At 42.5% G+C, this 19,310-nt stretch overlaps 1 long non-coding RNA gene and 1 pseudogene across 1 annotated transcript, besides 1 other annotated feature; one reads left to right on the forward strand and one right to left on the reverse strand.

The window, feature by feature from the left end:
* The first annotated feature begins 3,352 nt into the window (after positions 1-3,352).
* Positions 3,353-8,295, forward strand: LINC01871 (long intergenic non-protein coding RNA 1871). The gene is made up of 2 exons (NR_183384.1): positions 3,353-3,427; positions 8,090-8,295. It is a non-coding gene; the product is annotated as a long intergenic non-protein coding RNA 1871 (long non-coding RNA).
* On the reverse strand, positions 14,013-14,669 carry LOC100130731 (proteasome 20S subunit beta 1 pseudogene; annotated as a pseudogene).
* Positions 14,115-15,314: an enhancer, noted in NCBI's record as "MED14-independent group 3 enhancer chr2:7876672-7877871 (GRCh37/hg19 assembly coordinates)". NCBI's record gives its function as "activates an origin of replication core promoter dependent on BRD2, BRD4, P300/CBP and CDK7 cofactors, and independent of MED14, by STARR-seq in HCT116 cells {active_cell/tissue: HCT116}" and the evidence as "EXISTENCE:reporter gene assay evidence [ECO:0000049][PMID:35650434]".

The following is a 19,310-nucleotide window of genomic DNA, read 5'->3' on the forward strand; positions in this document are numbered from 1 at the left end:
TTTTAACTAAGCACTTAACACGCACCGCAGCTGTAACTTTTGCAGTTTGAGGTGTGACAGCAAAACTAGCATGAATTTCTTTTTTTCTTCACAATTTCTTGAGTAGAAGACTGAATCTTAGCAGCCTCAGCACACAATTTTTTTTCTTTCCTGAAGCCGAGAACTTTCCTCTTTTCACTTAAAGGCAGCACTCTATGGCTTCTGTTTAGTACATCGACGTTGCCAGCATTACTACTCTTGCGCTCCAGGACCATTATGCAGTAAAATCAGGGTGATCTGAACACAAGCATGGTGGCACCACCATAGTCGATCTGATCTCTGAGGTTGCTGCTCAGTGAGTCATGAGTGGGGAGCATGGATAGCGTGGATCCGCTGGACAGAGGCTGATTCACTTCCCAGGTGAGATTTCACTCACATGACGCAGGACAGCGAGCAATGTAAATTTCTGAATTGTTTATTTCTGAAATTTTCCATGGACTATTTTAGACCACAGTTAACCAAGGGTAACTGAAACTTTGGAAAGCGACCCCTAGAAGCGAGGACTATGGCATGCACTAGATGCCGGAAACTGACAGCTACATGCTACATGCTCTCAGGGAACTCAAAAAATGCACTACTATCATCTGTATTTTAACCTTGATACTAAGTGTAATTTTTAACAGTGTGAAGCCAAAAAAGAGGACTTGAAAAATCATAGACATTCTGAAGCACTGACTAATTAGAGGACTCAATCGACACTTCCAGAAATACCTGGAACCCAATACAATGCTAAACAATCCAAGCGCTAAGCTAGGCTAAGCCAGTTTGGCAAGGGGTGAAGGTGAAATGGGTGAAGAACCTGAGAGTGCAGAAGGAGTTAGAGAAGCTCTGTTTGCAAATGAATCTAACTACATCTTCCTTTACAGGAATGAACGTGGAAGTGTATCCAACTGGAAGAATAAGTCCAAACCAAGGAGATTTTGAGAGTCAAACTTAGGGAAAACCAAGAAGAAACTAAAAGTCCAGAGATTGAACCACCAAATGTAAGAACTAATCTCCTACTAATAGGAGGAATCAACATGTTCTTTCCAACAGACCTGTAGCCTCTGATGGCACACAGTGTCACTGAGATCAGCTGGGTGGTCAGGTGTTTGAGCCACCTTGAAACACCAGCAGCTGAGGAAAAGAGCTCCTGCTGCACCTGCTGGGAGCGGTGGGGTTGGGGCTTCCCACTTCCCGAAGCCCTGGAAAAGGGCACCCAGACATTTTACAGAATCCTTGAGATGGAAGGTGAGTTTTCCAGGCCATTCCACAGGTTAAGCCTGCTGGCTGATTCAGCCATACAGGAGAGTTTGCCTGGGAATGGATACCCCAGTGGCTGCTACTTTGACTGATAAAGCAAGCCCAGGAAGATGGTTGAGAATAGTTTGTGCACTCCGATTATCTCTGACATTTTCCCAACTCATAGTTGGAGCAGAGCTATGACAAAGGCATGCATGTTGCTAGTGCAGACATCCTCTTGGCTGTTAAGGGCTGAATTCTGTACCCCCACGTTCATATGTTGAAACCCTAACATCCAATATCTCAAAATGTGCCTGTGGAGACAGGGCCTTCAAAGAGGTTGCTGAATTAAAATTTGGTCATATGGGTGGGCCTAATCCAATCTCACCTGTGTGTTTATAAAAGGAGATTAGAACACAGACACGCCAGGGGGAAGACCATGTAGGGAAACAGGGCAAAGGAACTGCCTGCAAGCAAGAGAGAGGCCACAGAGGGAACCAACTCCGCAGACATTTCGATCTCGGGCTTCCAGCCTCCAGAACTATGAGACAATACATTTCTACTGTTTAGCCACCCAGTCTTCATACTTTGTTACAGGGGCCCTAGCCACCTGTAGACCAGCATAGGGTCAAAAAGCTGTCATGACCAAGTGCCCACACTGGGTCAGCAGTCCCAGAAGCAGTATCAGAATCATCTGTGCAGATAAAACTCTGAAGTCCAAGAAAGAGCCATTGGCACACAAATAAGACCAGAACAAATCAGGGAACCAGGTGATGACCTTTACTGTCAGAGATCCGTGTATACAGTACAGTCAGCTGACAAGAGGGCTCTCAATCGTGGCCACATATTTGAATCACCTGGGGAGCTGTTAAAACCCATGACACTAGGTCACAACCTAGACAAATGAAATCGGAATCCCTGGAGGGTGAGACCCAGGCATCAAGAAGGATTTAAGATCTCTGCAAGATTCAAATAGGCAGCCAAAGTTGAGAACAGCTGGCTTAAAGAGATTACGAGACTTTGTTACAGTATCTCAGCACGGATTACATTTCAATTTAGTTCTTTGCTATTATTCTTATCCTCTGAAATGTTTACACCACACGACGGCCTATCACTGGCTCTGAATTTTATATCATAATCACATAATAGGTTCCTCACTTAAGTTGTAGACATAGGCAAAACTTTTCTTGTTTTTGATGTAAGATAAAGGGAGAGAATGACTGGAGCAAAACAAAAATAAGATAATACAAAATAAGTCATGGGGTGGCATCACATTTTAAGAGTCTTCATTTATGACAAAAGCACAAGCTTATTTGTTGGGGACATAACTTTTGCCATTTTTCCTACCTTGACTGTTTAAGCTCGCAGCAATTTTATAGCTCGCTGTACAGGCTAAGGCTTTTGGTGCCTTTCTTTTTTAAGCTGTGTCAAAATACCTTTAAGGAAAAAAGATGATTTGAAAGGTATAAACCCAACGAAAGTAATAGCACAGTTACAGTTTTTGTGTTTGGGCAGATTTTAAGACATTTCTATGTATTTTTCTGACACAATGGATCCTAAGGACTGCCGTAGACGTAGATTAGTCTGATTTTAGGCCATTGCTTTGCAGCATTATGCAGTTTTTATCTGAAAGACGTTTCAAGAGGGGGAGCTAGTTAGCTAATTAATTAGAGATTGTGACTTAAATTTTTCAGACAAGAGATACTTTCCGAGTTTAAGGAGAACCCGAAGAAAGCTGCGTTTCTGTATCCGTGCCATGGGAAGTCTCCTGTCCTGTTTCCACTCTGCCTTCTCCATAAAGCAGGCTGATTATCAGGGCCCTCACACAAGCCCAGCGTGGTAGCTGATTAAGGCTTGACAAGCAAAAAGCAAACAGGATTTCTAATCATGTGTCTCATAGAAATGGAGCCACAAAAACCCAAAGAATTGCCATTACACCCCAAGTCATGCAATTTAGAGCAACTCAGGAAATAGGTGCACACAAGCAAACCATGTGGTTAAAGCCTTTGGAACTGGTTTGAGCAAAGCTGTAGGTGATTTGACAAAATCATCTGCAAAACCAGATTTCTAACACCTCCCTGCTGTGTATCTCATTTCTGCTGATGTGTGGTGCTTCATAAGATGGGGACGTTAAGCATGCAGCAACTACAGTCATTTGTTCTCAGAGGTGAGTGTTGCAGTTATTTTTATTACTTTTTCTCTTCTTTACTCTATTCCTTGCCTCTCGCCAGACATTCCTTAAACCACCTATCAACTCTCCCCTCACAGTCTTCCTTTTCTGTCTGCATTCTTTTTTTGAACCCAAATCTAACTTAGCTGCTTTTGTGGTTTTTCTATTCACTTTGTCAATTTCTCCCTTGGTTAGAAAATAAATTCCTGTGCACACTCACACCTATGCAAGGGCTGCTCTCAGACATAGCAGGAGGCCAACTTCAGCCTCAGCCTCTTGAGCAAACATTCCCAAGAGGGAAGAGCAACATGGGTGTGTGTGTGTGTGTGTGTGTGTATTGTGTTTATTTGTATGAAATGTCAATAGGGCATACTAATAGCTTGTGAACAAGTATCTATATCAAGATAGACAACCCCAATACATTCGACATGTTGAATATTTAACATGAATCACACATTTCTTGTGAATTGTGAGCAATATAGTTGTACTTATGTGTATAGATATGTGTACATTTATACATGTATATATATAAGGTACTCTCTATAGAGTACCTTATAGCTTACAAAGTGATTTCAAGTACATTTTCTCACTTGACCTAGAAGAGAGAATAAGTAGAATGTGCACATCTTACTCCACAGGGAACCCCTCTTGGAGGCCGGTCTCAGAGCTAAGGTGATAAATGGGGCCAAGAACAGTGGCTGATGCCTGTAATCCCAGCACTTTGGAGGCCGAAGTGGGTGGATCACCCGAGGTCAGGAGTTCGAGACCAGCCTGACCAACATGGTGAAACCCTGTCTCTACTAAAAATATAAAAGTTAGCCAGGCATGGTGGTGGGCACCTGTAATCCCAGCTACTCGGGAGGCTGAGGCAGGAGAATTGCTTGAACCCGGGAGGCAGAGGTTACACTGAGCCAAGATCACACTCCAGCCTGGAGGACAGAGCGAGACTCTGTCTCAGAAAAAAAAAAAAAAAAAAAGATGGTAGATGGAGTGTGACAGTTTGTGTTGGCATTTTGGCTTGGCAGAATTAAAGCCTAAAGTGCAGGGCCAAAAAGAGCCAGATTTGCAGCCTAGCTTCACCACTCCCTAACCATATTGCACTTGGGCATGTTCCTTAATCTCTCTATGTCTCTGAAACAAGAGGAAAAATCTCTTAGAGTTATTTGTGCAGAGTGAGCTACGATGTGTAAAATGATAGCCATTATAGCATGCACGTGAGCATGTACTATTAAACATAAGCAATCATTTGTGAAGCATGTTGAGATGCACATTGTCTAGCACCCCTGAGCCACCTTGGCTGTCCCGTAGCAGTCCCCAAGAGTCCTTTTCTAACATGGTTATGCCAGAATAATTTGGTTAGTTCAGGTGGGGTGAGCACAGTGGGGCAGGAACTGTGTCTAGTGGTTGCTGGGCAGTTTTGCACCTGGAGCTAGCACAGTCAGTTTTGTTGCACAAATGTGTGCCAAGCACTTTTCATAGGTCAGAAGCTAGAGAATAGTGTGCTTGTAAGCAAGCAATGAGAAATAAGATGGGAGCTCTTATTGGGGTTCCCTAGCTTCACCATCTTCAGTAACTTCCATCTTTGGTTCTGGCGGGCTTTTCTGAAGGACAGAACAGAAGCCCATGATAAAGGTGGGGTTGAGAATTCAAAAGAGATCTTTAGAAGTAGAACAGGGCCAGGGCCCATGTTAAGATTGAACTTTAAGGCCAGGCACGGTGGGCTCACACTTGTAATCCAGGAACTTTGGGAGGCCAAGGTGGGAGAATTGCTTGAGGCCAGGAGTTCAGGACCAGCCTGGACATCATAGTGACCCCCTATCTCTGCTAAAATAAAAATTTAAAAAAATTAGCCAGGCATGGTGGTGCACATCCATAGTCCCAGCTACACAGGAGACTGAAGAGAAAGGATCACTTGAGCCCAAGAAGTTGAGGCTATAGTGAGTTGTGATCATGCCACTGCACTCCAGCCTGGGGGACAGAGCAAGACACTGTCTCCAGAGACAGAGAGAGAGAGAGAGAAATGAAACTTTGGGAAGGAATGAGAGTGATCACCAGGTAGTGCTTCTGAGGAAGCTTGCTCTGATGGAGCTGACAAAGTGCCTTTATCTACTATGGATTAAGCATTACAACCCCAAAATCCAAAATCTGAAGTGTTCATAAATCCAGAATTTTTTGAGCAGTTACATGACACTCAAAGAGAATGCTTATTGGAGCATTTCAAGTTTCAAATTTTTGGATTTGGGATGCTCGATGGGTAAGCATAATGCAAATATTTCAAAATCTGACAGAATTCAAAATCCAAAACACTTCTGGCCCCAAGCACTTTTGATAAGGGATATTCAATCTGTACTACCCTACCATGAAAATGAAGTCTCGGGAGAAATGAGTTCTATGCTTAAGACTGAAAACTTACAAAACTTTATTCTTTGTCTAGGAGAGACATGAAAGCTATAGGGAAAGGGATGCAATTATTATTGTTGGTTTTAACCTTTTTGAACCCAGTCTAATTCACAATGAGATTAATGACAGTGTTTATTGAGCTTTTCCCACTTGGCCAACAATATGTTAGGGGTGGCAATCCCGATAACAACCTAAGAAGTAGACTTTCCATTTTACAGATAAGGAAACTGAGGCTTGGAAGGATTGACTTGCCGAAAGGCACAGACAGAGGAAACGGCAGCAGTGCGATATGCCTCTAGATAGTCAATCTGGGGCTTGCCCTCTTCACAATAATGACAGTAGCCACTGCATAAGGGCCTGGTGAGGACTGGAGACAACACATGCAAAAGAACCAACAGATTCTCGGCGCAGTGCATTCATGCATGTACGGATGTCATGTATGAAAGTGCCTGGAAAAGGGCGGCCATTGCACATTCCTTTTGCACTTGGGAAAACTTCATTAAAGTGTACCATGTAGTCAAATGGTTAGCCCGATTTGGTGTATGACTGAGAAATGGGTGATGCCCTCCTGGCCTGAATTCAGGAAACTGCACATCAGGGAAGCAGAGCTAAACTCTTAGGGACCCAGAGTGGAATTGTTTAAAGGCTAAATCACCCCCAAACCGCACGCGGTTCTCGTCAAAGTTAACGGCAGTGGCTCATGTGTGCGTGGACACTGTGTGATCCTCCATAGGGAAGGAGAGCAGCAGTGTCCTCAAGGATGAAGCCCTTCCAGCCGAGCCCCCATTGGTAAAGAACCTGACAGAGGAAAAGATGCTTCTGTTTCTGGGAAAAGGCACATTATACGAATCCAGGGCACTGCCGGAATACAGCCCTATAAGATATATCAGTACATTCATATGCGTGCTCCTATCACCCATCCAACAAATTGAATGAAATTAAGAAAGGAGCAGTCATCATAAGTCATATCTACTCAGAAATGTATATTTAAAAGCAGGCTGCTTTGGACAATGCTTCGCTCATTAAGACTCTTTTTAGGTGCATTGTTTACTGTGTAAACCCTGATTAATTTACAGTTTTTCTTTTTGCCTGACTCATAATTACTCTATGGAAAATACAATTTTGGAGAATACAACATTAACTACATAGGATTGGTATTAACAGTCACGGACCCACTGAAGGCGAGTTTTACTGTTCGCTCAATGAATGTCCTTCAGTATCTCTAAATTAGATGGAAAAGCATCTATGATTTCAGGGCCCATTTAAATAAATTAAAGCCAGAAATGAGTGTGCTAACTTTGCATGGATCCAAACATTTGCCACTGTTTTCCTGTCTTCCCTTTCTACCATTAAATTCAACCCGACCTTTAGAATTTGTGTCCCCCAAGCAGAAGATAGATGATTCCCGTGTATCAACCTTGTATTAAATGCCTACCATGCACTAAGCACTAGGAAAATAGGGAGGAAACAACACCCTGGATACTTTTCTCAAGTAGCTCTCAGTGCAGCGGGCTTAGCATGGAAACAGAAGCAGCAAAACGTTGTGGGAAGTGTCTGTGTAACATGCGGCATGGCTGTTATTTAATCCCAATTAAAAGGATGAGAAAGTTGAGGTTTACTAAAGTTAAGGAACTCCCCTAGGTCCATAGTTAGCAAGCGCTAGAGACAGAATTCCAAACCAAAGCAGTCTGCTTGAAAAGCCCAGTTTTGTCCCACCCCTTCCCTAAGCATTTGTTCAGATGGGAGTGAACAATGCATAAAACTGGCTGTGGCATTCGGCTGACCTGAGATCTAGTGGTGGCCTTATTCCCAGCATGCAAACTCTCACTGACATGCAAACCCTTGCTGACTACTTCATATGAGAAGGCAGCACCATTCCTCTGTCATGTATGAATGCAATTTTCCTGAGACATTTTTATTTTCTGTTGCTTGTTTTTAAATAATTAATGCCATTGTAACAGCAGCCTCTCTTCATTTAGGAGGGCATTTCCACTCTGAATTTCCAGTTCCAAACATTTCAGTTTTCCACCAAGACATCATTCCTGGGTTTGGGATTCCTGAATTTTCTCCACACAGAGGTGACTGCTTTCAGTGGAAAACTTAGCGAAATTGCATTGTTCTCCCTGAAGTATCTGTGTAACCAAAACAATGTTACTGCTATATGACATGTTGTAGGCATTCTCAATACATTTGGAAAATGCAAAAGTAACTGTGATCTAACATCTCAAACTGGCTATGGATTTATTTTCCTGTGGTCAGGTCTGGACCAAAGAGAAACAAGAAAAGCTGGAGTCACACTACCAAAGGCCGAAGCTGAGCAACAGAGCTCTGGAGTCAGCTGCCTGGGTTCAGCATGCAGCGCTGCCGTGGACGATCTGTCTCTCTTGCATATATGACTTACCAGTTTTACTTTCAGTCTCTCCATTTCTAATTAAATGAGATGCAGAAATGCTGGTGCCTTGCTATGATGTTTGCAGTTATTATTTCTAGGAAAAAAAATATTATTGTTACTCAGTATCTGGTACATCAAAACTAAGCCAGAAACGTTTAAAAAGAACAAAAGTATCATTTCTACTTAATTCTCTAGCTACTTGGACAACTGGACTATGCCCCTCCTTTCAAGGGAGGGCAAAGCATTTCAGAAAAGAACTAAGTGCTATTTCTCTGCTTCAGGAATGTCTCCCGTATGTAAAAGAATGTGGCTTCAGGGAGTAGCATGTGTTGTAAAGGTGGATGGGTCTAACTTCATGGACAGCTCTGACATCCACTAGCTATGCCACCTGATGCAAACCACTTGGGCTGTCTGTAGTTTCGTTTATCTTTCTGGAATTGGTAATAACAACCACCTGGCAAGATCACTGTTATGAATACGGAGGATCAAAGTTGTGAAGTTATTTTGTAAAGTGAAATGTTCTGAAAATTGGATTTTAACAGTGTCAGCGAAAAGTAGATTTTTGACATTTATCAAGAGTTCAGCTAATGAAAACAAGTATGGATAATAGTTACATAGAACTGTCTACTTTACTCAGTACTTTAGCATATGCTATTATATTTAATCTTCTTAAAAAGTAGAAAATTATACAAGCCATGTATTACTATTATTGTGGTGGTTGTCGTTCTCAATTACACACTGAATATTAAGACCTCTCAGGTAGCAGCTGGAAGGACATTGTATCCAGTTTCCTGATTGTTTTCAATGGAATAATCATGTATACATGCACTACTAATGAGACAATGGTGATTCTAAAAGCTTAATCAGGGGGACTTTTGTGTATTCCAAATCTACTAAAAATAAAGAAACACAGAAATGAGAAAAATGTACATTAGCAAGAAAATGTACACCAGCATTCAGGCTTAGCCTTTTGAGAGCAATATGATAAATAGAAATAGAATTTCACAAATTTAACATGATGCTAATCGAGGAATGAATGAAAAAGTGGTCAGCAGTCTAAATGGAACATAACACAAAGAGATCTCGTAAACAGTAAGCTTTGTGCAGGACATCTCTTGGGGGTCCCAGGTGTTGGGAGAGTCAGGGAGAGATGTCTACTGTTTGAACAGCAATAATACAAAGTTGAAGTGGGACAATATTCACCACCGTAGCTTGATGGAATTAGCCTTTCAAAAGATTGAGTTTATTTATTTAGAAATTGCCTTACCCCCTTTTTATAAATGTGGCAAATCAGCAAAGACGGTGACATTCTTTTAATTCAAAACATCCGTTCAATCTACAGTCTGCTCTCCTAGATGGATTTTAAGAGTGGGGGTTTGTCTTCCAACTAATGTTTGTCTTCCAACTAATGTTCCCCTGTCAATTAACTATCATTTCCTGTTCTTATTAATCAATTAGATCTTTTCCACTGCCTCAGACTATTCTTCATTCAACATTTGTTTTTTATCTAAAATGTCCCAGACTGTTCTAAGCATTAAGAGTAAAATGTCTTAGAAGAAATAAATCAAGTTGAGTGGGTATCATAAACCACTCAACTAGTGGCCGAGTCAGAAATCTAAATGATGTTTTTGAGGAATCTTCCTCCGCCTCCCCTTTACCTATCCAGTCATCCACCAACCTTGCCGTAGCAGCTTCTGAATACCAGTATCTCTTGGGGTCCCCTGCTCCTCTCCATTCCCACTTCCGCTCCTTTGATCTGGACCCCTGTGGAATTTGCGAGAACAGTCCCAAGTCTGCCCTCACCTCTGACACCAACTGCAAAATTAAGGAACAGTCCCTTAAGGCTTCCCTACCTTCAACACCAGTTGCATGTTTGGGAGTTCCCAAGACCACTCTTCATTTTGGTACTTCACTGCAAGTACTCACAGAACTCGCTGAAAGTGGTTATACCTTTAGTTACAGTTGAGTACAGCTAACGAACACAGATGAAAGTCAGCCACAGGAAGCAGTGCATGGGTCAGTCCAGCAGGGTTCCACACATGGAGCCGCTGGCATGCCCTCCAGTGGATGGTGGGCAGCCTTAGTTCTCAGGTAAGACGTGTGATAGCATGCAGAGAGCATTGCCATCCAGGGAAGCTCCCCTGAGCTTTGGTGTCCAGCGTGTTCACTGTACTCAATCACATGAAGCTAATTGGCCTCTCCTTTCATTGATCTCAGTCTCTAGTCCCTTGAGGGATGACTTCATGACCCAAAGCCCCCACCTGAAATCACATTGTTAGACCCTCCAGGTGTGAGCCAAGGCCCCCGAACAAACGGAAACACTCCTATTGGGCACAATATTCCCAGAGCCTAGAGATTCCTTCCCAGGACCTGAGGACAAGTGTCAGACTTCTTTTTGGAAAGAGCAGATTCCTTACCTAAAACACCTAGTCTTTCACATGGAGTCACACAATATTCTTTTCACTGGTTTCCCTGACTCCAGGCTTGCCTCTCTCCAATCCATTCTCCATCTTTCTGATGAATAGATAGTTTTAAAAGCAAATGTGATAAGGTCACTCATCCATTAACATTTGCCTAGGAATCCTTCATTACTCTTAGGATCAAGTTCAAACCCCTTAACGTGGCTTAATGGCTGTAAGAGACAAGATAAGCACAGAGTACTTGATAAAGATGGAGGAATCAGAAACTACTATATATTTTATTTTTTTAATATAAAAAATACCATTTAGAACATTCCAGAAAAAAAAAAAAAAAACTATTATCTACACAAAATGCTTGGTCAGGAAATCCAGCATGTAAGGAAAATTGGACTCAAATTGAGAAAGGGATGAATCAATGGCGACTGGAATAAGGCCTTTTTGATGATACTTTTTTCTTTGCTACGACTGAAATCAGAGTACGTGAAACCATTTACCAGTATATTAAAGGCACTGACAGGGAAAAAAGCAGAATGGCATTGTGCAAAAAAAGATGGGCTTTGAAATCAAACAGACTTTCAATGGCAGCTGTGCCATACACTGTGTAACCTTGTGCAGCTTGCTGAACTCTTACAGGCCTTCGATTTCCGATCCTTTAATGCCTTTAGAAATGCTTCTCTTATGGATTTGTTGTTGTCAAGATGCAATGGATTTTTGTACTTTTTTTTTTAATTAATTTATTTTTTGAGATGGAGTCTTGCTCTGTCACCCAGGCTGGAGTGCAGTGGCGTGATCTCGGCTCACTGCAACCTCCACCTCCTGGGTTCAAACAATTCTCCTGCCTCAGCCTCCCGAGTAGCTGGGATTACAGGCACACACCACCACACCCAGCTAATTTTTGTATTTTCAGTGGAGACAGGGTTTCACCATGGTTGGCCAGGCTGGTCTCGAACTCCTGACCTCGTGATCCACCCACCTTGGCCTCTCAAAGTGCTGGGATTACAGGTGTGAGCCACCGCGCCTGGCCAAATTATTGTACTTTTTAAAGACCATAGTGTATTTGAAACAGTCCTAGGCCTTAGGGAAACAACACTGAATAAGAGAGACCCAATCCTTCTTCTCATAAAGCTTAAGATCCCTTGTCAATACACTTGGCAAAGAGTAGGCATTTAAAAAAATTGTTTGGTTTGCTGATTCTCAGAGATCTTCCAAACGAACACTCACATCCAGTCCAGGCTGGGGGGAGACCCCAGTCCTTGACATGGGGTAATGGGGACAGCATTTCCTGAGGACTCCACAGGAGGCAAATCTATTTCAGATGTTTTGATGATAAGGAATTTGTAATCTACAAGTGGGCTTTTAAATTATGTGTCATATAGTACACACTTAATTTTTTAAGGAGACTAAAGCGGGAGAGAAACAGTGTCCTCAGTGGATGGTGACTGGCTTGGGTGGTCTAGAGCCCCTACAGCCCATGGGCCACCTTGACACAGAAAGATCTGTGCCTGCCATGACTGCAAAACAGGCAATTTATGTACAACAGTCGTTATCTTTGGATTGGCTTCCAGAGGGCGACTTTTTTCCTTCTTTTCTGCATTTTCAATATTTTTTGTTGATTTTGAGTAAGCATTGCTTTAATATTAGCAAAGATAAAGCAGACTTCTTAGTCAAAAGTTAGTAAAACTGATTAAATTGATACATTAAGAATAACAGCATGGTGTTAAGGAGGTAAGAGTGAAATTTGCCAGATATTATCTACTAATGAAAGTGTTGTTTGACTGTGTTTGAGTTTGGGGCTATGTATTTGCTAAGAAATATTATGCGGTAGGGGCATGGGCTGGCCCTGCCTCAGTGGCTGTCATATGGAAGAGCTGAAGTTTAAGGAGCAGGAGCAGAAGAAAGAGAATAAGGAAGCGCAGTATTTAAGGAGAATGGACTTCAGAGTCAGAAACCTGGGTATGCTTCTCTGCTCACCTATAAATCAGCTCATGAGCTCAGCTGCATTTCTATACCTCTGATTCAATAAGAATTAAGTAAGGAGATGCATGTTCATGTATGTCTTGTGCCTGAAACAAAGTATCTGAAAAACGTTAAGGCAATTCTGCAAAAACTGATTGAGGAGCAATCCTGGCAACCCCTTCTGCAGGGGGCAGGTGGAGATGATGCCTGCAAGTCAGGCTGCAAAGAGCTTCCATTTATGTCAAGCTCTGAAAGGGGAAGAACTAGAGTCAACACAAAGGACTCGATGACAGTGAGTGAGTGAGGGCTGCTGAGGCCACTGTGAGTAATTCTATTCATATGGCCCACCAAACATATTTGAAGGAGAAAAGAAAAGCAATCTAGCTTCTATTTAGAAATGGTCAGGGGGATAGAGAGACCACTTCTCTACTAAAAATACAAAAAATTAGCTGGGCGTGGTGGTGCACACTTGTAGTCCCAGCTATTCGGGAGGCTGAGGTGGGCGGATCGCTTGAGCTGATGTTGAGGCTGTAGTGAGGTGTGATCATGCCACTGCACTCCAGACTGGACAATGAGAGTGAGATTCTGTCACAGTTACCTAAGAGTGCCGAGATCCAGGCCTTCCCCAAGGAAGCAGTCTCCTCCCTGGTACCCTCCCCAGTCACAGTGCAGACCCTGACTGCATCTCCAGTCAACACCTCTCTCGGTCACAGAAATGAAGACATCTTTCACAGGTCACAAGCCTCCGTCCAAGGACAGTCTCAAAAAACAAACAAACAAACAAACAAACAAAAAACAATGGTCTAGGGGAGCTAAGGAAAAACCTATTCCTGGACTCTCCATGAAGATGCAGAGGGACTGATTTTCCTATCTGTGAGGACGAACTTCTTTGCACCCAGATGGAAGGAAACAGCATTTTGTCAGATTGTTACATTAACCCTCCCAGGCTGTGGCTCATCCTAGGCCATGCCTGTCTCAGTCTTCCCTTGACCACCTGATTTTATGGTCTCTATCCAGATTAATGGAGAAACGAAATAGTGGCTTTTGAAATCATGCTGCTGTACAATATGTCCACAGTATTTGGAAACCTAGAATAAGGATTTAATGGTAAGCAGGGTCAGTTAGCCTTAGATGTCTATTTCTTGGTTCTTTTGCTATTGCCATTTTCTTCTTTTCTTCTTGTTCTGTGTGAAATTCCAGCCTCGTTAAGGATTAAACATATTAAAAGTAATTGCAAAAACCACAATTACTTTTGCACCAAACTAATACTTCACTTGATGGTAAATTTCTATCTCAATTAGACAAACTTTTTTTTCCCAGGTTTCTTTTTCAATAAATGAATTTATCCAACAGTGCCAAGGCACAAAATTAACCAGTTCTGAATTGATTAGCGATAACAATGCCAGATCCAGGCCTTCCCCAGGGAAGCAGTCTCCTCCCTGGTACCCTCCCCAGTCACAGCGCAGACCCTGACTGCATCTCCAGTCAACACCTCTCTCAGCCACAGAAATGAAGACATCTTTCACCAGTCGCAAGGACAGTAGGGCAGGCCCCACCTTCTGTGTGTTCTTCACACCAACCCTGGTGTCTAGCAGGGGCCAGAGCAGCCCTAAAGGAGTCTCTCTGGCAAGTCTCCACCACGTCAAAGCTCCCGCCCTTCTTCATCAAGGGCACTGATGATGCAAGCATAGCATGGAAAGAAGTGCCTGGAAAACAGGATCATAGACAGTATTGCAGGAACGGCCCCTGCAGTCAGGACCTTATTTCTGGAATATTTATGCCTCTTCAGTCTTGCTTCAATAACCTTTGCCAGGACAAGGCAGTCACCATGAAAACCACTGCGTCCAGTGACTGCTGAGTCTGTTAATTTCTAACACTTGGGGCTGTCCTGGCTGTAAATTGACAACCTTTCACCCAGTGTCTGAAGAAGCCATTGAAAACTCTTCTCCAGAAATTGTCAATATATGCCTCTGCCGAAAGCACAGGGCACAAAGGGCAGGTGCAAAGGGGCTGCAGCACTGTGTGGTTCCATCCTCCTGGGACCTGAGTACCTGGCTGCAAAGGACAACATCCCACAGCTGTGCCTGCAGCAGCCATTAGAGTTTCTGCTGTGTCACAGTGAGATGGAGGCCCCTAGACCAGCATTCCTAAGTGCCCCAATCATGGTATTCATCATTTCATCATTAGCTGGACTGATTCCTTCTCCTCAGATAAACCACAGGCCATGAAAGAAGGTAACGTATAGACCATGATACAATGCAAAGGGCTGTTCTAGAGGTATGTACCAGGTACAGTTTCACTACATAAGTGGGAAAATTGACTCTGTGCAAAAGTTAGGGAAGGCAGCACAGAGAGGGAGATTCCTCAGTTAAGTTTTGAATGATGAGCAGAAGTTTGCATCTTTGCAAATGAAAACATATGGGTCTGTGCAGAAGCACCTTGACCCAAGAAATGCAAGCACTTTCACGTGTCATGTATGGAGAATCTGAGAGAAAGCACAGAGAAAAATGAGGCTGGGGTGCCAGAGGCCAGCCCATGGAGGAGCTTGAATATATCAGCTGAAAGGAGGTTGGCACCATCTTACAGACAATGGAGAGCCAATTAAAGCTTTCAGTGGGGGCAGGATTATAATCAGGTTGCTGATTAAACAAAAGAAAATATGCCATATGAACACCAAAGATGTCTTCTTAAATCCAAATGCATTTTTTTTAAACCAACCTCCATTTACCCATATCTCTGAGTCAGGCCAAGAAGTATAGCAAACCGCACCAGATAGTGAAGCCCGTTGCCTGAAGGGCCTCACTTTCTAAACTTTGGGGGATCTGACAAGGAATGAGGGGCAGGTTTCCTATTAACTTCTCTAATTAGCAGACAGCCTCATCTCGGAACTATGCTAACAGCCACGAGAAAATAACTGTGTTTCTGAAGAACCCACCACTTCTGGCTCCTAGCTCAGATGTCATGAGTAATGGCCTCCCACCTGTGTCTGCGAAGTGTCTTTCCTGTTTTAGGCTGCAGCCAATCCCTTGGCTCTCTGTGGTATCCCACAGCCTGCATGGTATCACCTTAATTTTGATTAGGTTTCCAGATCCCAAAGACAGAAAAAGTTTTGCAGCCTGTGATTGGTGATATCAGACCCACAACTAGACTTCCCCTGGGAACAGGCCACTGAGCCGGGATTCTAGGCCTTTAATATTTTCACAGCATCACACTGCAAACTTTCTCATGGTATTAAGTTTCTGTGGGATTCATGATCGTTTGCAACAATCCCAGTTACCTACCTGTGGCTAAATGTTTCAGCTCTGTCCTAGTCCAGGATGGAAATGAAGCCATCATGCTTGGTCTTAGATCTAATGTGTAATTAAATTTTAATCTAAATATCATAAAGGTATTTTTTTTAAAACCAGCTGTGAACTCCAAAGGACATTATAGAATGGTAATATCATCCCATTCTCATTCTCTCCCCATGTTATCTCTCCAATTCCAGAACTCAGACAAATAAATAAAGTTTCCATAAAGAGGGTATTTTTCTTTGTTTTGATTTGTGGAATCCAGGTTTCAAAAATGCTCTGAGTTTCTTACAATCCATTTTCCCCTTTCTGTCTGCCTGTCTGTTTGAGAAACCATGATTTTCTCAGAGTAAAGGATGCTATCACAATTGTGAAATCTTAAATTACCTCTGCCAGGCAATAATCAAAATGGCAGTAGAAACATATTAGGAATGTTCTCCCAGGGGCAGTGAAAAGAATGCATTTTCAAACAATGGCATGCAAATACCAGGACTTACTATGCCAAAGTTGTGTGGAATTGGGGATGAGATTTTCTCATTTCTGGATGTGGCATTAGGCCCTTATCGAGATGCCAAAATGGATTGCACATCTACCAGGCATCAGAGACTTTGCAGGGGGCTTTGAACATAGTGTCTAATTTAATTGTGCTAACAAAACTGCAGTGCAGATATTACTATCCTTCTTTTAAAGGGATATCCCTTGAAGTAGTTAAGGAACTTTCCTGAGATTGTATTGGGGTAAGCTAGGATTTGAACCCAATCTGACCTCAAAAGCTATAATTTTCTATTTCACTGGAGTTTTTGTTTCTTTTTGTTGTTGTTGTTTTGTTTTGTTTTCCATTTCAGAGATAGCAATCCATGTTTCCAAGCAAAGACATTGAGTTCTGAGGACACAAGGAAGTCCACCAGACAAATGTTGAGGGAGGGGCCTGGTGGAAGATGACTGGATTATGGAAGTGGTTCCCCCATGCTGTTCTCATGGGAGTGAGGGAGTTCTCACGAGAGCTGATGGTTTTAAGGGTGGCACTTCCTCGCTCTTTCACTCTCTCTCTTTTGCCTCCATGTTAGACGTGCCTTGGTTCCCCTTTGCCTTCTGCCATGATTGTAAGTTTTCTGAGGCCTCCGTAGTCATGTGGAACTGTGAGTCAATTAAACCTCTTTTATTTTTAAATTACCCAGTCCCAGTGTCATTACAGCAGTGTGAGAACAGACTGATACATCCCCAAACACTGACACTTCCCCTAGTTAGAAAGATGGCTGAGAGACATGGGATGTGGCTTTCGCCTTTCTGAAACTCCCAATCAAGTGAAGAAGATAGATTTATACATAAATAATTCATTCATTTGTTCATTTATTCAACTTTCTTTTCATCACGTATTTTTATGCCTGGGATTGTAGCAGGCATGGGAACAAACACGCTGAACAAGTCAGACCTGGCCCTCTACCCCGGGAGCTTGCAGAATAGTGGAGGGGATATATATATCAAATAAACGTAAGCCGGATAGATACCAGCTGGGATCACCATGCCCTTAAGACCCAGAGAAGTCCTGTCCAAATGCCCATCTCATCAACCACGAAAAGCCCTTTGTTCTCAAGATCTCTGTAAGTCCTGGGGATTTTAGCTCTTCTCATCACCTTTGGTTTCTAAGTGTGTTCTTATTATTTACTTTTCTGTTGGGGCTTGTTCTTTCACATGTCCCTGAAAGCAAGCAGGGACATACGGCCCAGGCCTGATACTTTCTGGAAGAACAGCCCTCTCACAGAACTCCTTGGAGGCTGCCCTGCAGAGGAGGTGGTTACCATTACAAAGACAACCAAGAGACTTAGAGCTGAGCATTAAACTCCCTGTAGTTGGAACAGTCCTCTTCCTTTTCTGGCATCTCCAGCTTGGTCTGATAAATTACTCAAGAGCTTTGCTCATCTCTGTGCTCTCCTGATGAGCCCCTAGTTCCAGCTTCTGGTTTATAATGGCCCATTTTTTCCGTCTCTTCTTGCACCTCCAGCTCACACTCTTAGGGCCCCACCTGCTGTCTCTTAAGTGTCTGATCAGTGCAAGTTCCTAAAAAAAAGAAAGCATCCTTCATGAAGCATATTTACCTGATGAAGTAGTACTGTTTTTCACCCCAATACGTATAAAGTTACAAAACTAATGATATACTTACTGGTGAGAGAGAATGTGTAGGATGCTGTGAGTGGTAATAGGGTGGATCAGTTAGAATAGGATGGGGCCTACAGGCGAACCCGACAAACGGAAGCTAACTGACCTGGCTGGAGAGTAGCAAAGTTATTTCTCATTTACCCCACCCCACCCCATATGTGTTGCTGGTCAGCAAAGGGTCACTCTTAGTCGCTCAGGAATCCAGGTTCCTGCATGTGCTGTCTCAATGCATGCTTCTGTAATTACAAGAGCTAAGATACAAAAAGAGCATAGCTCACCACACACTAATTCATTTGCTTTTTCTTTTTTTTCTTTCTTTCTTTAATTGAATTTTTTAAAAAAAGCTTTATGAGGTATAATTGACATACAAAAATTGCACCTATTTAATGTATACAATTTGATGAGCTTGGACACATACATATACCTGTGAATCTACCGCCACAGTCAAGGTAATAGTCATAACTACCATCCCGCAAAGCTTCCTTGGGTCCCTCCGTGTGTGTGTGTGTGTGTTTGTGTGTGTGTGTGTGTGTTTAAAACACTTAACATGAGATCTACCTTCTTAACACATTTGCAAGTGCATAACACAGCACTGTTGACTATGGGCACTACACTGTACAGCAGACCGCTAGTGCTCAACGTGCATGCAAAGCTGTAACTTCATGCCAATTAAACAGCAATCCCCCATTTCTGTTCCCCCCTGGTCCCTGGTAACCACTGTATTTTCTCTGATTCTCTGAGTTTGATTATTTTAGGTACTTCATATAAGTGGAATCATGCAGTATTTGTCCTTCTGTGCCTGGCTTATTTCACTTAGCACAATGTCCTTCAGGATCATCCAGTGTTGTCACAGGTGGCAGGATTTACTTCTTTTTTAAAGCTGAATTATATTTGATAGTATGCATATAGAAAATTTCTTATCCATTCATCTGTTCACGAACACTTGAGTTTATTGCATATCTTGGCTATTGTAAATAATCCTGCAATAAACATGGGAATATAGAGATCTCTTTGAGATCCTGATTTCTTTTGGGTATATACACAGAGGTAGAATTGCTGGATCATATGGTCATTCAGTTTTAATTTTTTTTAAAATCTCCAAACTGTTTTCCATAGTGGCTGTACCATTATACACTCCTATCAACAGTGCATAAGGGTTCCCCTTTCTCTACCTCTTTGCCAAAACTTGTTATATTTTGCTTTTTTCGATAATAGCCATTCTAACAGGTATGAGGTGGTATCTCCTTGTGCTTTAAATTTGCATT

Source organism: Homo sapiens, chromosome 2, assembly GCF_000001405.40.
Source record: "Homo sapiens chromosome 2, GRCh38.p14 Primary Assembly".
NCBI classification, from domain to species: Eukaryota; Metazoa; Chordata; class Mammalia; order Primates; family Hominidae; genus Homo; species Homo sapiens.